Raw genomic sequence first — 16,809 nt, 5'->3', positions numbered from 1 at the left:
AGTCCCAGCTACTCGGGAGGCTGAGGCCGGAGAATGGCGTGAACCCGGGAGGCGGAGCTTGCAGTGAGCCGAGATTGCGCCACTGCACTCCAGCCTGGGCCACAGAGCCAGATTCCGTCTCAAAAAAAAAAAAAAAAAAAAAAAAAAGAATTATTGCTCCCTACTGGAAGGAAATCTTACACTTCAGAGACAAATGTTACTCTGCAGCAAATGGGGAAGAAACAGTTCCCAAAGTTTTTTGAATAGGGTAATGAGGGTTTGCCAAAGGGGAAACCAACAAAACAGAACTGAAAAGCTCAAATGGAGTTATTAGCACTGAAACTTAGTGGGTCATCCTGTAAGAATCTGCCACCACAGGAAAGCAAAAGTGGTTGTGCACATCACAAAGACAAGCATCTCAAAGAATTGTTTCATTTTGTTCAGGAAAGAAATCAAGAAAAAAAATAAGCCCAGTACATAAAAACAAAGAGTTAGGTTTTCAGTGTGCCTGATGTGGCTTTCACTTAAAGAAATAAAAGCAAAAGAGGGAGGACTCATTAATCTCCGGAAAAAAAAAAAAAAAAAACAGAGACAGGGTCTCACTCTGTTGCCCAGGCTGGTCTAGAATTCCTGGCCTCAAGTGATTCTCTGCCTTGGCCTCCCAAAGTGCTGGGATTACAGGCATTAACCACCACACCCAGCTCTTGTTAACTTTAAATACTGTGTACTACCTTCCCACCCACTCCCCACACCAACCCCCCACCCCGCCACAAGGGTCTTCTTATCAGCTCAATCTTAACCTTTCTATCCCTCTTTCCCTCTTTTCCATACTTACTTGGGGAATAAGGAATAACTATTTCAAATTTATAGGGAGATCTAGCCCAGAAGCCCAGCGAGAAGATTTGAAGAGTCAGGAAAAACAAAACCTGAAAGCAGAATTTCTACAACAAATGCAACCTGCAACTGAGTTTTATATTGAGAATATACGATATTGAGCATGTACATAAAAATATACAATATCTTTATGCCTGGCAAGGTCTGACTTAAGTGTAATGTTTTACTAATTCTGGAATTCAAATTAGATTTCCAAATATCTACGACATTTTATGAGCAAAGACTCAATATATGTCCAAGCCTATAAAGTCTCTCCACAAATCACTCATTCCCTATTTCCCTTTGTCTTCCCAGGCAATCTCTATAATTCCATGATTCCCCATATCTCATTTCCATGGTCACAAACTAATAAAAGCCACAACTACGTCATATCAAAATAAACATTGCCTGATGACTCTCTTTACCCTTCAACCTACCCTTTAGATAAAGATATTCCCCCAGACACTATTTTTATGACACCAAGCTCCTTGCTCAAAAATAGTAAATGCATAATTAACCAACTTTGCTGAAGTACAAGAATCTTCAGGGGCACTTGTTACGAAAGGATTCTAGGACCCTGGCCCCAGTCTCCAAGGAAGGGATTTCTTATGACCAGCAAGTTTGGAAAATGCTCCATTACATCAAATCCAAATTCCAAAGTCCCTTGGATCCAGCTTATTTCTCAATACTTTCCAAAAACAACCCACTACAGATAAGGACTCTTGTTATTCTCACATGCCATGCTTATTTCTTCTTTTGCACTCCTATTTCTAAAGTAACTGCCATGAGTTTTAGTTTCCTTGCCTGTAAAATGAAAACACCATCTTTCCTGAATAGCTAAGAATTATTCTGAGGGCTCGACATATTGTAAGTGTGCTTTGAAAACTGAAAATAATTACACAAATTAAGAACATTATTTTTATGGCAGCTACCCCATTCACATTGATTTATTCTCCCATATGTATTCCTGAATATGTTTCACAGGCTGAAATAGGCTGTTGAAGAAGTCATCAGGAGAAGTTAGCATTTTCTTAATTTTGGACTATCGATATTATCAGAGGTGGCGAAAAGAATTTTTTTTTCTTCTTTAAATTTCAGAAAAAAGAATTTTGGGTTCTAACTTAGACAATTAATTAAAAATAAATATATGTATATTGTGGCTCATGTAGGTGACCACAAGATTTCATTAGGCAGTTTGTTTTTTGAATCATATTACCAACCAAATGATAACCTAAATGACAATTTATAAGTTTGACACATTAATCATTAATTTTGTTAATTAATTTTGACTATAGGTAGTTTGGCACGTCCTAATGTCAGCAAACTTTCCTAACTATATACTCTGAATTCTTTTACCAGTTAAAGTTTCTGCAGTTATAATTTGTAACTGAAATAGATACTCTCACATAAGACTAAGTTATTTATAAAGGAAGACAGCCACAATTTGGTTTGCACTGTCAAAAACATTAATTTTAGTAGGTTTTAATTAGCACTTACACTAAAAATTGGTTTTGCTGTTATAGCTGTGTAAGATCATTAAGTCACAAGGAGTGTATATGTATTTTTTCCATTTACACATACAATGTTTTAACAATTTAAGTCACATTAAAGAACTGTCCTTTTTTCCTTTAAAACATGTCTAGCAGTAAGATACCACTTCACACCAATCAGGATGGCTATTACCCGCCCCTCCCCAAAAAAAGGGCCAGTAGGGAAGCAAAAAAGTGTTGGCAAGGATGTGGACAAAGTGAAATCCTCGTGCACTGCTGTGATTGTAAAATGGTATAGACAATGTGGAAAAGAGCACGATAGTTCCTCAAAAAGTTGAACACAGAATTACCATACAATTCAGCAACTTCACTTCTAAGTATATGCCCCAAGAAACTGAAAGCAGGCACTCCAACAGATACATGAACACCAATGTTAACAGCAGCATTTTTTACAATAGTCAAAGGGTACAATGACCCAAGTGTCCATCAACAAATGAACAGAAAACAAAATATATAAATATAAAGGAATATTATTTAATATTAAAATATTAATTATATTTTATATTATATATATATAATATTTATAAAATATTAATTATATATATAAAATATAAAAATATGTACCAAATTTTGACACATGGTACAACTCAAATGAACCTTGAGAACATTAAGCTAGGTAAAATAAGCCAGACACAAAAGGATAAATAATGTCTGAGTCTACTTACATGAGGTACATCTAGCATATGCAAATTCACAGAGACAGAAAGTAGAAAAAAGGTTGCCAGGGACCAGGGAAAGGGGACAATGGGGACTCAGTTTTTAAGAGCTAAGAGTTTCGGTTTGGGGCCAGGCACGGTGGCTCACGCCTGTAATCCCAACACTTTGGGAGGCCAAGGCAGGTGGATCACCTGAGGTAAGGAGTTTGAGACCAGCATGGTCAACATGGTGAAACCCCACCTCTACTAAAAATACAAAAATTAGCTGGGCGTGGCAGCGGGAGCCTGTAATCTCAGCTACTCGGGAGGGTGAGGCAGGAGAATCGCTTGAACCTGGGACGCATAGGTTGCAGTGAGCTGAGATCGCGCCAAAAAAAAAAAAAACTTTCAGTTTGGGATGCTGAAAAAGTTCTAGATATGGATGATAGTAATTGCACAACATTGTAAATGTGCTTAATGCCACAAAACTGTATACTTCTAAGTTACTTGTAAATGGTTACAATGGTAAATTTATGTTATGTATATTTCACTACCAAAAAGGCTGAACATTACTTGATTTTGACAAACCTTGCCCTTGGCACTTAAGACAATAAAATGAAATGTAAAATTCAGGACAGGGGAGGCAGGGAGATGTTACTAGGGAGAAGTACACTGAGAGCTTCGAAGATACAGATACTGTTCTGCTTCTTATACTTGGTAAGGACTTGAGGTACATGAGAAAAAGTGTCTATTGGTCATCTTAGGTCTTTAAATAAGAGAAAAGTTTAAAATTTTACATTTTCTTATTTGCAAAGCAAGTAAATAATTCAATACTAATCTCTTGATAAGTGTAACTAGAAAATAGAGTTGTCTGCATTAATATTGTTGTTATAATTTAATCCAATTGTCATTTCACTCAATGGATTGGTTTTAGCATATTACTTTTAAAAAGTCACTGTACACATTAGAAAAATTTACATAAATGTTTTCAAGCATACAGAAATGTGGAATATATATATGTCCCTCTGATATTTGTCACTTCTTAATGTTTTGCCATATTTCTTTTTTTATTATTTTTATTTTTTGAGATGGAGTCTCACTCTGTCACACAGGCTGGAGTGCAGTGGCACAATCTCGGCTCACTGCAACATCTGCTTCCTGGGTTCAAGCGATTCTCCTGCCTCAGTCTCCTGAGTAGCTGGGAGTAGACAGGGTTTCACTATGTTGGCCAGGCTAGTCTCGAACTCCTGACCTCAGGTGATCCACCCGCCTCAGCCTCCCAAAGTGCTGGGATTACAGGCGTGAGCCACTGTGCCCAGCCGCCATATTTCTTTTAGATTATTTTCTATGAAATAATACCACTATTCTTCTCTCCACATCCCCAGAGCCACTATCTGGAATATGGTATTTATCACGCTATTGTATATTTTTATAGTTTTACAACATATTACTTATTCATGAATGATATACTATACTGTTTTGCACTTTGATTTTTATATAAATGTTATTTCTGTACTTACATTGCTCAATTCTGCTATTTTGTTTATGATCTTTAAAAATGAACTAATTTTGTACCCCAACAAAGAAGGCCATCCTTAGAGTACAACTAAACACATTTCCTTGTCAAATCAGCAGCATTTACTGTGGATTTTCAAAGTAACCATTATTTATCTAACTACAGTTTACAATACATAAAACTAACCTTTGAATTAGCATACTTTTAGAAGCTGCTTATCAATCCAGGGAAAAAAGAATACACACATTAATTTCTTCAATTTTATTCTTTTTTCTTTTTTGTGTGATGTCCCTGAGTCATAAGAATATGCACATATTTTTTGGCTAAATCTTGTTCATCATGTTCAAAATATGAATACTATGGAAAATGTCTCTTATTTATTGAACATATCCATCTAACTTTATGAAACTAGTTCTGACTACATTTATTTGTGGCCTCAGGCTGGCTGCAGAGTCTGACAAAAAGAAAATCAGTTGCTGCTTCAAAAATATCTATCTCATTTACTGTCCATCTTCACACTGTAGTTTCATTTATGTAAATCATAACATTTTCATTTAGAAACAAATAAAATTCCCCAGTCTTAACCTTTAAACTCTGTGACAAGAGATCAGTTCCAACCCCCTATACTTCCAAACTTTGTTATTCAAAGAAGAAACTGAAAATTAAGTAAAGGATTTTTTTTTTAATTGTCCTTTTTTACTTCTAGAGGGAAAAAAAGATTCAAACGAAATCAGATTTGTTTAGTATCAGGGCTTCAACAATAAGTCAAAGTCATTTCCATATCAATCATAATAGAACTTCTATACTGAACAAGGATAGATCCTCCAAACCTACTGTTTATGACCCCGCTGTCTGACACACAAGTGGAAGTCAAACTCCCTTCTCATATTTACAACTGTGATACGTGTAAAAAGCAGTACTGTTGCCAGTTTCTAGCAAGCTTTTTTATCTAGAGGAAATGTTTCTCAAGTTTCTGTCATTAATGTTATGCCAAAACTAATAACCAGCTATAATATTTACTTGATATTTTTAACATCATAAAACAGGTACTTACTACCTATTTTAGCATCCTCGTAACTAATTAGTATTGCTGTTAGTTATTAAAAGAAATTTTGGGGCTTTAAAACGTTCATTCACGTACAACCTAAAATATCTACTATTTCTAGAAGTATATGTACCATATTTTGGATAATAATGCCCAATTATACTACATGTACATTATCAGTTTCCCATTTCCACAGCCCTCTTCCCCATCACCCTAATTTTACTAATATTCTTACATGCAGAAAAACTGTGAGGGGAAGTTGATGACTGCTCAATTTTCTGGTTAGCAGGGGCTCCAGGTCTGACTTTTGAACAAACAATGGGGACAGACAAGGATTTTTCCTCCTGGTGGTCATCACTCAAAAAACAAAGTAAATACACATTGTACAAATTGAAATGTATAAGTATTTCTCTGATTCAATCTGCCTCATCATTAGTACCACTTACTCCCAGAGTTCTGTCTTTATATCTGTCAATTTTCATTTGTAGTAATGATTGGAGCTTTCATTCATTCCTGATTTTATGATAATTTTAGTGGGAAAATAGGAATGGTTTGCTGGGCACAATGGTTGACACCTATAATCCCAGCACTTTGGGAGGCCGAGGCAGGAGGACCACTTGAGGCCAGGAGATCAAGACCAGCCTGGGCAACAGAGCAAGACCTTGTCTCTTAAAAAAAAAAAAAAATGGTCAGGCATGGTGGCACATGGCTGTAGTCCCAGCTACTGGGTAGGCTGAGGTGGGAGGATCCCTTAAGCCCAGGAGGTTGAGGCTGCAATGAGTGTGATCGTGCCACTACACACACACACACACACACACACACACACACACACACACAAAGAAAAAAAGGTTATATTGGGAGTTGCTAGTGAGATACTATCCTGAACCAAATACATACATACACCTCTGCCTCCTCAATTTTCAACGCTGCTAAGCAAACAACCAAAGAGCGATACACGTGACACCAAAGAACAGGCTTGTCCCTCCATATTGAAAGGTGACTCAACATTCATTAATATCATTCAAGAAGTCTGCAGGGGCTTACAATTCAGAATGACAGTATAAACAGCTTACTTTACTGTTACCCACTTTCCCTCCAGATTCCATTAACATAACTCAAGAAAGTTACAGAAATAAAATATTAAATGCAAACAATAAAGAGGATGAGAGAGGAGCCATCAGCAGATACAAATGGCGAAATTCTGGCCCAAGAAGTAACAGCCTAAAATATAGTTGGAGGGTACCTGAGAAAGGAACCAATACCTTTCCTCCAAAAACCAATGAGATCCAGTAAAGCAGAAATGAGACATGAGATTTTTAAAAACGAAGAATCTGTAGGACAGACAAATCAATGCCTCTCACCTTCTGTGCGCACAGCAAAATGATCACCCAATGCTTACCCTTGGGTAGGCAGGAAATTAAGGTTCTACTCTAAAGATATCAAAACAACTAGTAGGGCCATTAGAGTGCAAATTAACATCCCAGAACAAAACCAGTTACCATCTGTTATTTTGGGGGTTCCCTGACCATTCACTTGAGAATGAAGTCTGACCATTAACAAGTAATGAGGCTTACTATGAGCTCTAAATACAGACAAACTCTAAATACAGAGTTTGCCTAATGGTAAGCCTCATTCTTAAATATCAGCAGGCCCACAGATCATCACACTTGAGAACTCACAAAGATAAAACACTCTTCCCATCAAAAAGGGGAAATTGCCTCAGAGAAACAAAAAATTCAGGAAATAGAATATACTTTTTAAAATGGTAAATTTTAAGTTATATATTTTACCAAAATAAAAAATAATTATAGCAGGCAATTAAAATAAAAATTATTAACACCCATATAGCAAAAAAACCTGAATGCTAGAGGAAAGCTATATGATCTTTTTATTTTCTATATATAAAGTATTATAAACTCACTGCCAAATAAAAAGGTGATCAAAGAAGATGAAGCCAAAAAATGAAGGAAAAGCAAAAGTAGGATGTGTCTGGTACTTAATAAATGTTTTTTTCTGGATTTTGTGATTTTTTGATATGACTTCTTTTAACTTTATAATTTGTTGTCATTTCTTCTTTCAGTCCAAATAAATATTCAGTTTAAAAAAAATTTTTTTTTGACAGAGGGTCTTACTCTGTTGCCCAGACTGGAGTGCAGTAGTCCAGTCCTAGACCATTGCAGCCTTAACCTCCCAGGCTCAAGCAATCCTACCGTCTCAGCCTCCCAAGTAGCTGGGACTATGGGTGCGCACCACTGTGCCTAATTAACTTTCTTTAAAAATTTTTGTAGGACAAGCGCGGTGTAATCCCAGCACTTTGGGAGGCCGAGGCAGGTGGATCACTTGAGGTCAGGAGCTTGAGAACAGCCTGGCCAACATGGTGAAACCCCGTCTCTACTAAAAATACAAAAAGTAGGCACGTGTGGTGGCATGCACCTGTAATCCCAGCTACTTGGGAGGCTAAAGCAGGAGAATCATTTGAACCCGGGAGGCAGAGGTTGCAACAAGCCGAGATTGTGCCACTGCACTCCAGCCTGGGCAACAGCAAGATTCCGTCTCAAAAAATAAATAAATAAAAACTTTTTGTAATGTCAGGGTCTCACTATGTTGCCCAGGTTGGCCCTGAATTCTTGGTCTCAAGCTATCCTCCTGTTTCAGCCTCCTAAAATGCTGCGATTACAAGGTGTAAGCCACCCTGCCCAATCTACTTTTATAATTTTAAAAGAAATCTTTTACTTTAGAGAAGGCATAAAAATACTGTAATATAAAGCAAGAAGAGAAAATGATTAGGGGTGAGAAAATCAGAAGAAACTCTTAAAATGACAGACATGCAGGCCGGGTGCGGTGGCTCATGCCTGTAATCCCAGCACTTTGGGAGGCCAAGGCAGCCAGATTGCTTGAGCTCAGGAGTTCATGGGCAGCCTGGGAAACAGGGTAAAACCCCATCTCTACAAAAAAAAAAAAAATACAAAAATTAGACAGACATGGTGGTGCACGCCTGAGGTCTCAGCTACTCAGGAGGTGAGGTGGGAGGATTGCTTGAGCCCAGGAGGTTGAGGCTGCTGTAAGCTGAAATTGCGCCACTGCACTCCAGCCTGGGCAACAGAGCAAGACTCTGTCTCAAAAAAGACATGCTCACCAAAACAGAAATTCAATGAAAGCTTGCAAAATAATGTCAACCTAAAATATCAGGCAAGTAGTTGGGGACGGGGGGAAGGTTGTTACAAGAATTCCAACATATAAATATATGCCCCCCCAAAAAAGAGAATAGGGAAAAATGAAGGAGTGAAAATTATCCAAGAATTAGAACACTTCCCAAAACAGAAAAACATATTTACAAGGGTCTATTTAACATCCCCGTACAATAGATGGTAGAGAAAAAGTAAAAATTAAGAGAAGTTTCCAAAACCAAAAAAATATCTAGGAGATGGGGAGAAATACCACGAGTGTCAAGGAGGAAAATGAAATAAACAGAATCCTAAACAAAACCAGATTTTTTTAAAAAGGAAAAGTATGTTCATATGTGGAGGCAAAGTTTATTATACATGCATATTTTCTTACTAGCAAGACACTTAAATATGTATTCATAGATTTTTAAATAATTTATTAAAAAGAGGAACACAATTAAAGGAAAAAAAAGACAGTTGTGCAGCATACTCAGAAAGCAGTAAGTTCAGATCAGCAGGATAGAAAAGTCTGAAGAATTCCCTAGGAAGGCAGAAGACTCGATATACTGGATGGGAAAATGAAAACTTTGAAAATGCAATAGTAAGGCTGGGCTTGGTGGCTCACGCCTGTCATCCCAGCACTTTGGGAGGCCGAGGCGGGCAGATCACGAGGTCAGGAGATCGAGACCATCCTGGCTAACACAGTGAAACTCCGTCTCTACTAAAAAATATAAAAAATTAGCCGGGCGTGGTGGAGGGTGCCTGTAGTCCCAGCTATTCAGGAGGCTGAGGTGGGAGAATGGCGTGAACCCGGGAGGCGGAGGTTGCAGTGAGCCGAGATCGGGCCACTGCACTCCAGCCTGGGCGACAGAGCCAGACTCCGTCTCAAAAACAAAAAAAAAAAGAAAATGCAATAAGAAAAAAACCAAGGCAATTTGAAATGACAGGAAAACCAGGAAGCAGAACAAGGAAGTATAAAAAGGAGCTCTATCCATAACTAGTTACCTTAGAGAAATGTCAGCCAGACACAATTGATTTTCACTTTTAGACATTTTTAAAAGACAGAAGGCAGATATTAATATTACTCATCTTCACAATGTAAAATACATAGAATAGAGGTTAGACAGTGATTTTTTTTTTTTTTTTTTGAGACAGAGTCTCACTCTGTCACCCAGGCTGGAGTGCAGTGGTGCGATCTCGGCTCACTGCAACCTCCACTTCCCGGGTTCAAGCGATTATCCTGTCTCAGCCTCCTGAGTAGCTGAGATTACAGGCGCCCGCCACCATGCCCGGCTAATTTTTTTGTATTTTCAGTAAAGATGGGGGTTTCACGGTGTTGGCCAGGCTCGTCTCGAACTCTTGACCTCCAGTGATCCACCTGCCTCGGCCTCCGAAAGTGCTGGGATTACAGGTGTGAGCCACAGCCGCCTGGCCAGATAGTGATTTTAAGAGAGTGAGAGTATTATGGTCATCTTACAAAGTAGAGAGTAGAACCTGTCTGCATTTGATGCAATAATAAATAAAAGTATGGCATAGGTAGAATACCTAAAGTTGAAATTGACACCAACTGAACGCCGATAATTTGCATACTATCATTAGGATTGCTGCTGTATTATTACGATCATTTGAAAATCTAACATTCCCCCAAAATCTACCTTTTTATAAAACTTAAATTTATTGGTATAAAGAAATTTTACATTACAATACTGATTCAAAACCACTAATCTGATGTTTCTCTTATATAGAAGGTAATCATAAAAATGTTACTAAACTCTAGCTAAATTCTGCCAATCTTTATTGAACACAATATCCATCCAACAATTATAGCTACAGCCTTAAAGAACACAGTAATCACAGTAAGAATGACACAATCATTATGAGAAGAGCGTATAAGTACAACAAGGAGACAAAAAAGAGATTAATTTCTGAGAGGATTCTTTAAAGAAACATTTATTTATTTTCATGAATATGAATTTAATAGGAATGCAAAAAGAAGAACGTGGGTGTGGAAATGAAAATCAGCATATGTATAGTAACTTAAAATAAAGTCTGGGAATTGTTTATATAATTTTAGAAGAGATGGTAGGAGAGAAGATTGGATAAACACTAAAATCTTGAGAACTTCACATAACAATAAGGAGATTAAAATTTATACTGTGGAGAATAGGGCACCACCGAAAATTTTAAAAGATGTGATCAGATTTGCATCTTCATAAGATTGATCATGCTTGCATTGGTGTGGAACAGAGAGAAGTGTAATTAGACTTAGGAAGATCATTTTTGGTTGATATATTGGTACAGATGAGGGAGAATCAAGATGACAAGGTGGCTGATTAGAAATGGAAAATGAAGATATAAAGGAGGAAGAGAAGTCTAGGATGATTCTCAGAACTTTCTGGTTTTGTTTTTTAGGGGCAGGAAAAATGGTTAGGTAGGGAGACTTCTTGAAATAGATCTGTCTATAGCCACAAAGAAATTTAAGTTATCCCAAATTGATCATTCAACTTCAATTTGAGATTTCAGCTGGGCGCAGTGGCTCATGCCTGTAATCCCAGCACTTTGGGAGGCCAAGGTGGGTGGATCACCTGAGGTTTCAAATTTCATTAAGAATTCTGATTATATTCTTTCTGAATTTCTCATATATTCATTTCCCTTTCCCTTTCCAATTATCAAGCTCCTTATTGCGTAATACAGGAAAGTATGTGTTTCCTACTCCTCTGCCTTATAATTTCTCTGGTTCCTATACTTCAGAAAAATACATGACAAGTAGCACAACAGATGGAATAAAGGAATTAAGAATATACTGTTACAAGGTCCTTATACTAATCTTGAAGGGTAGAATATTATTTGAAGGCAGATTAATTTAAAATGTATATTATAAGCACAAGAGCAACCACTAAAAAAAATTAAAAATAAGATACATGGTCAGGAGTGGTGGCTCACGTCTGTAATCCCAACACTTTGGGAGGCCAGGAAGGGCAGATCACCTGAGCTCAGGAATTCAAGACCAGCCTGGACAACATGGTGAAACCCTGTCTCTACAAACGCATACAAAAATTAGCTGGGCATGGTGGAGGGCTACTCAAGAGGCTGCGGTGGGAAGGTCACTTGAACCCGGGAGGCAGAGGTTGCAGTCAGCTGAGATTTGCACCAGTGCACTCTGGCCTGGGTGACAGAGTGTGACTCTGTCTCAAAAAGAAGAAGGAGAAAAGAAGATACTTGTTAAGCCAATGGATAAAAAGAGAAATGTTAAATGACCCCCAAAGCATAAAAATTTTTTTCTTTAAAGGAACAAAGAGAAAACAGTAAGCAACAGTATCAATATTATAATGGGCAAACTTCAAGAAACTGTATAGCAAGAGAGTAGATGATCTAGATAAAATGGAAAGAAATTCCTAGAAAGACACGAACTATAGAAACTGTATTAGTCAGTTTTCATGCTGCTGATAAAGACATATCCAAGACTGGGTTTAACTGTACTCACAGTTCTATGTGGCTGGGGAGGCCTCAGAATCGTGGCAGAAGGCAAGGAGGAGCAAGTCATGTCTTACATCAATGGTGGCAGACAGAGAATGAGAACCAACCAAGCAAAACAGTTTCCCCTTATCAAACCATCAGATCTCTGAGACTTATTCACTATCATGAGAACAGTATGGAGGAAACGGCCCCCATGATTCAATTACCTCCAGCTGGCCCCGCCACTGACACATGAAGATTATTACATTTCAAAGTGAGACTTGGGTGGGGGGATACAGAGCCAAACCATATCAGAAACTGACTCAAGAAAAAAAAAAAAAAAACAACGGAAAATCTGAATAGACCTATAACAAGAAAGGAGACTGAATTAGTAATTTAACAAACTTTCCACAATGAAAAGCCCAGGCCCAGATCACTTCACTGATGAGTTCTATAAAACACTTAAATAATTGACATCAATTATTCACAAATTCTTCCAAAAAATATAAGAGGAATTCTATGAGGCCAGTATTAACCTAACACCAATGCCAGATAGAAACATCACAAGGAAACTAAAGGACAGTATCTTGGCCAGGCATGGTAGCTCATGACTGTAATCCTAGCTCTTCAGGAGGCCAAGGCAGGAGGATCACTTGAGGTTAGAACAAGACCAGCTTGGGCAACACAGCAAGACCACATCTCTACACAATTTTTTAAAAAAATTAGCCAGGCACGATGATACGCACCCATAGTCTTAGCTACTTGGGAGACAGAGGTGGGAGAACTGCTTGAGCTCAGGAGTTTGAGGTTACAGTGAGCCATGATTGTGCCTCTGCACTCCAGCCAAGATGACAGAGCAAGACTGTCTCTAATAAATGAATACATAAATATTTTAAAAGAAGAATATTCCTTATTAATACAAACACAAAAATCCTCACCAAAATACAAACAAACCAAATCCAGCAACTAAAAAGGATTATTTCCCATGGCCACATGGGATTTATCCCAGGAATCCAAGGTTTAGCATCCAAAAATTAGTGTAGTACACCCCATACAGTACAAAGCCCATACGATTATCTCCATAGACACAGAAAAAGCACCGAAGTCCAACACCCTTTCATTTAAAAAAAAAAAAAAATTCAACCAACTAGGAAAAAGGAACATCTTCAGTTGGATAAAGGGCATCTAGGAAAACCCCACAGCTAACATTATGCTTAACCTTATTAGCGCAGATGAAGATGTAAAGAAATTGGAACCCTCATTCGCTGCTGTAGAGAATGTAAAATGGTAGTCACCTTGAAAAACAGGTTTGCAGTTCCTTAAAAGGTTCAACAGAATTACCATATAACCCAGCAATTTCACTCTTTACTATCTGCTCAAGAGAAATTCAAGTATATGTTAATATAAAACCTTATAAATGAACGTTTATAGCAGCATTATTCATAATAACCCAAAACGGGAAACAACACAAATGTCAATCAACTGATGAATAAACACAATGGTATCTCCATACAATCAAATATTAATTACTCAACCATAAAAATGAAGTGCTGATCCATGCTATAACATGGATGAACATTAAAAACATTACACTGAGTGAAAAAAGCCAGTCACAAGAGATCACATATTATATGGTTCCACTTATATAAAATGTCCAGAATAGGCAAATCTAGAGACATAGTAGGTTAGTGGTTATCCACACAACTGGAAGAGTTGAGGGGAAATGGAGTTTTCTTTTTTTTTGGAGGAAGTGATTAAAATGTTCTAAAACTTAGTACTGTGATGGTTGCACAATTCTGAATATACTTTAAAAACCACTGAATTGTATATTTTAACCAAGTGAATTGTATAGTATGTGAATTATCTCAATAAAGCTGTTTATAAAAATGCAAATGGTAAGTTAACAATAAAATAATGCAAACTATCATCATATAGATTTAAGAACTGCCATATTTAGTCAACCTATAGTGCTTCTAATCCAGTGTTCTGTCTCAGGGCCAGACAAGAATATACATATAGTGAGAAGAAATGGCCCACTTCATTTAGGAAGAATAGGGAAGACAGTTCTAAAACCATACCGTCACCCAATATGAATCTCTATTATCCTGATCCTTTTGAAAACTGTTATCAACCTGTCTTTTCATTTGGAATAATTATTTCCAATGTTTTACTACCAATTGAAAAAAGAAATACTATCATTATTTTTGACCGAAATTTACTATTTAGCTCTTGTGGGCAGTCTCCTTGTTTTAATTTACATTAATTAGGAGAACCAACACGTTTTCTCCTTTTTAACTTTATAGGCTTTTCTAGTCACCCAACTTCAGTAAACTCTACTTTATAAAGTTCTTCCATAAAACAGCTAAGAATTTGGTATCTCAATGATTCTAAAAACTACAGAGAAAACATCTGACTCATTCATTCATCATAAAAAGCCTATTATTTGGTAACAGTCATTTTTACTAGGCCACATGAAGATGTTATTCTCTAAAATTAAATGGCTGGCTGATTGTGCTCTATTGCTATAAGTTTATTTCTTAGGTACAGGAGGATCATATAGAAGCATGTTAGCCTTGTTTATTAATAATAGCAGCTACCGTGACTTAGTTACCAGGCTAAGGTGTCCACATGTAGTCTCATTTAAACCTTGTAATAACACTAAAACATTACCCTCATTTTACACATGAAGAAAACAGAGGCTTAAAGGTATTTATATCCAAGTTGTGTCTCTTGTCCTGAGTTCACTAGACCTGATTAAGAACTCTATGAATTAAAGAAAAAAAAAGTCATAGAATAATATGTTTATATATATTTTTTTTAATGTGAGTACATATTTGTGTAAAAGCATGAAGAATTGGAAATACATACAAATATATGGTTGCCTCTGGGCAAAGGAGTAAAGGAGGTTAGGGTCAAGAAAGAACTTCCAGGTTCTGCTGTAAATTTTTTATATGGCTTTAATCTTAAGCAAAACAATATAAATGTATTCCTCATTGTAAGCTTTTTTGTTACAAGAATAACAGTATCAGCCGGGCGTGGTGACTCATACCTGTAATCCCAGCACTTTGGGAGGCTGAGGTGGGCGGATCACGAGGTCAGGAGTTCTAGACCAGGCTGGCCAACATGGTGAAACCCCACATCTACTAAAAGTACAAAAAAATTAGCTGGGCGTGGTGGCGGGTGCCTGTAGTCCCAGCTACTCAGGAGGCTGAGGCAGGGAGAATCACTTGAGGCTGGGAAGCGGAGGCTGCAGTGAGCCGAGATTGCACCACTGCGCTCCAGCCTGGGTGACACAGTGAGACTCCGCCTCAAAAAAAAAAAAAAAAAAAAAAGAATAACAGTATCATAAAAATTGAAACATTTATTAATCAGAACTAATACATATACTACTGTAGTTCTGTGCCAATCTCTCTATCACCTTTATACCTTTGCTCTTCCTAAGCTCACAGTATACATTATTTCCCTCTCTCATTTCATGTGGCTTCTTCCTTCAAAAAACTTTGCCTTGACAAGCTCTCTCACTTTTGCGGGGCTAGCGTAGGGGAGTAGCAATGTTTAGGTATAACCAAGATAATTAAAAAGTTTCTGTATTTAGGTCTACATGGGGAATAAAGGCAGGAAGGCTGACCAACAGTTTGGTGTACTGGGAAATCCTGCAATTCCCCTCATCTGTTGTGCACCCTCTGATAGGACCTGGGTAGAATAAAGCTGCTATTCCCTATTGGAGTCTGGGAAGTGGAGGCAGTGACATTATGATGTGTTCTAAACCTGGGTTAATACATGACTCTTGGACAACCATATGTATAAAAATAAAAAGGCTAAAAAGAAACATCATCCCCCAATTTAAGATTAGAGATAAAAAAAATTATCAAGAAAGGGCATCATTTATATTAATGTCATATATTTTAAGCACAATGTACTATGCTAAGTAAGCTGTAAATGACAATTTTATCTGCCCTCTTCAATATCTTTCACAAAGTGAAACCATTAATAAATACCTGATGAACTAAAATGGATTTCCATCTTAGGGTGGCAGGCTAGATATAAAATGTAATAGGAAATGTAGTTTTTTTTTTTTTAAAAAAGAAGCTCTCTCAAAGAACCTCTTGCGTCAAGTATAAGCTGAAACCTAGAAGAGAATGTTATTATAGAAAAGCAAAGATCTACGTTTTAGATAAAGAACCATACTGTACAAAAAATAATTTTCACATACATGATATAATTTATAACCGCACTTTACGATCATTATTTATAACAGCCACTCTGTTATCACTGAAATGTTGTGCATATACATGAAAATTTCCAGATAGGCCTCTCTATTCATGTATTATCTTTTTCTTAGTTATAAGGAAGTCCTTTATTATGTGTTCATAATTTTGTGTATGTGTGTGTGTGTGTGTGTGTGTGTGTGTGTGGTGAGAGAAATAGTAAAATTCTGTTACTGACATTTCTAGATTTCTATTCTAAGTATGTTACTTAATTATTATATATTGTGGTACTATGACATCCACAATATTTACTACGATCTGCCAATCCTTAAAAAAAGGTTTTATACCCCCTTTTTCAAATATCAAGCTGTCTTGGGTTTAGA

The 16,809-nt window shown here is 37.1% G+C and overlaps 1 protein-coding gene across 50 annotated transcripts in view, besides 1 other annotated feature; it reads right to left on the bottom strand.

The window, feature by feature from the left end:
- WNK1 (WNK lysine deficient protein kinase 1) overlaps positions 1-16,809 on the bottom strand; it is a 158,874-nt gene that overhangs the window by 103,594 nt on the left and 38,471 nt on the right. The gene's annotated exons all lie outside the window — the stretch shown is intronic.
- Positions 6,202-6,251: an enhancer, noted in NCBI's record as "active region_5791". NCBI's record gives its function as "activates an Ori minimal core promoter by ATAC-STARR-seq in GM12878 lymphoblastoid cells {active_cell/tissue: GM12878}" and the evidence as "EXISTENCE:reporter gene assay evidence [ECO:0000049][PMID:35858748]".

Source organism: Homo sapiens, chromosome 12 (assembly GCF_000001405.40).
Source record: "Homo sapiens chromosome 12, GRCh38.p14 Primary Assembly".
Lineage (NCBI taxonomy): Eukaryota > Metazoa > Chordata > Mammalia > Primates > Hominidae > Homo > Homo sapiens.
Note: the sequence above shows the minus strand (reverse complement) of the source record. Positions and strands in the feature narration are given on the sequence as shown.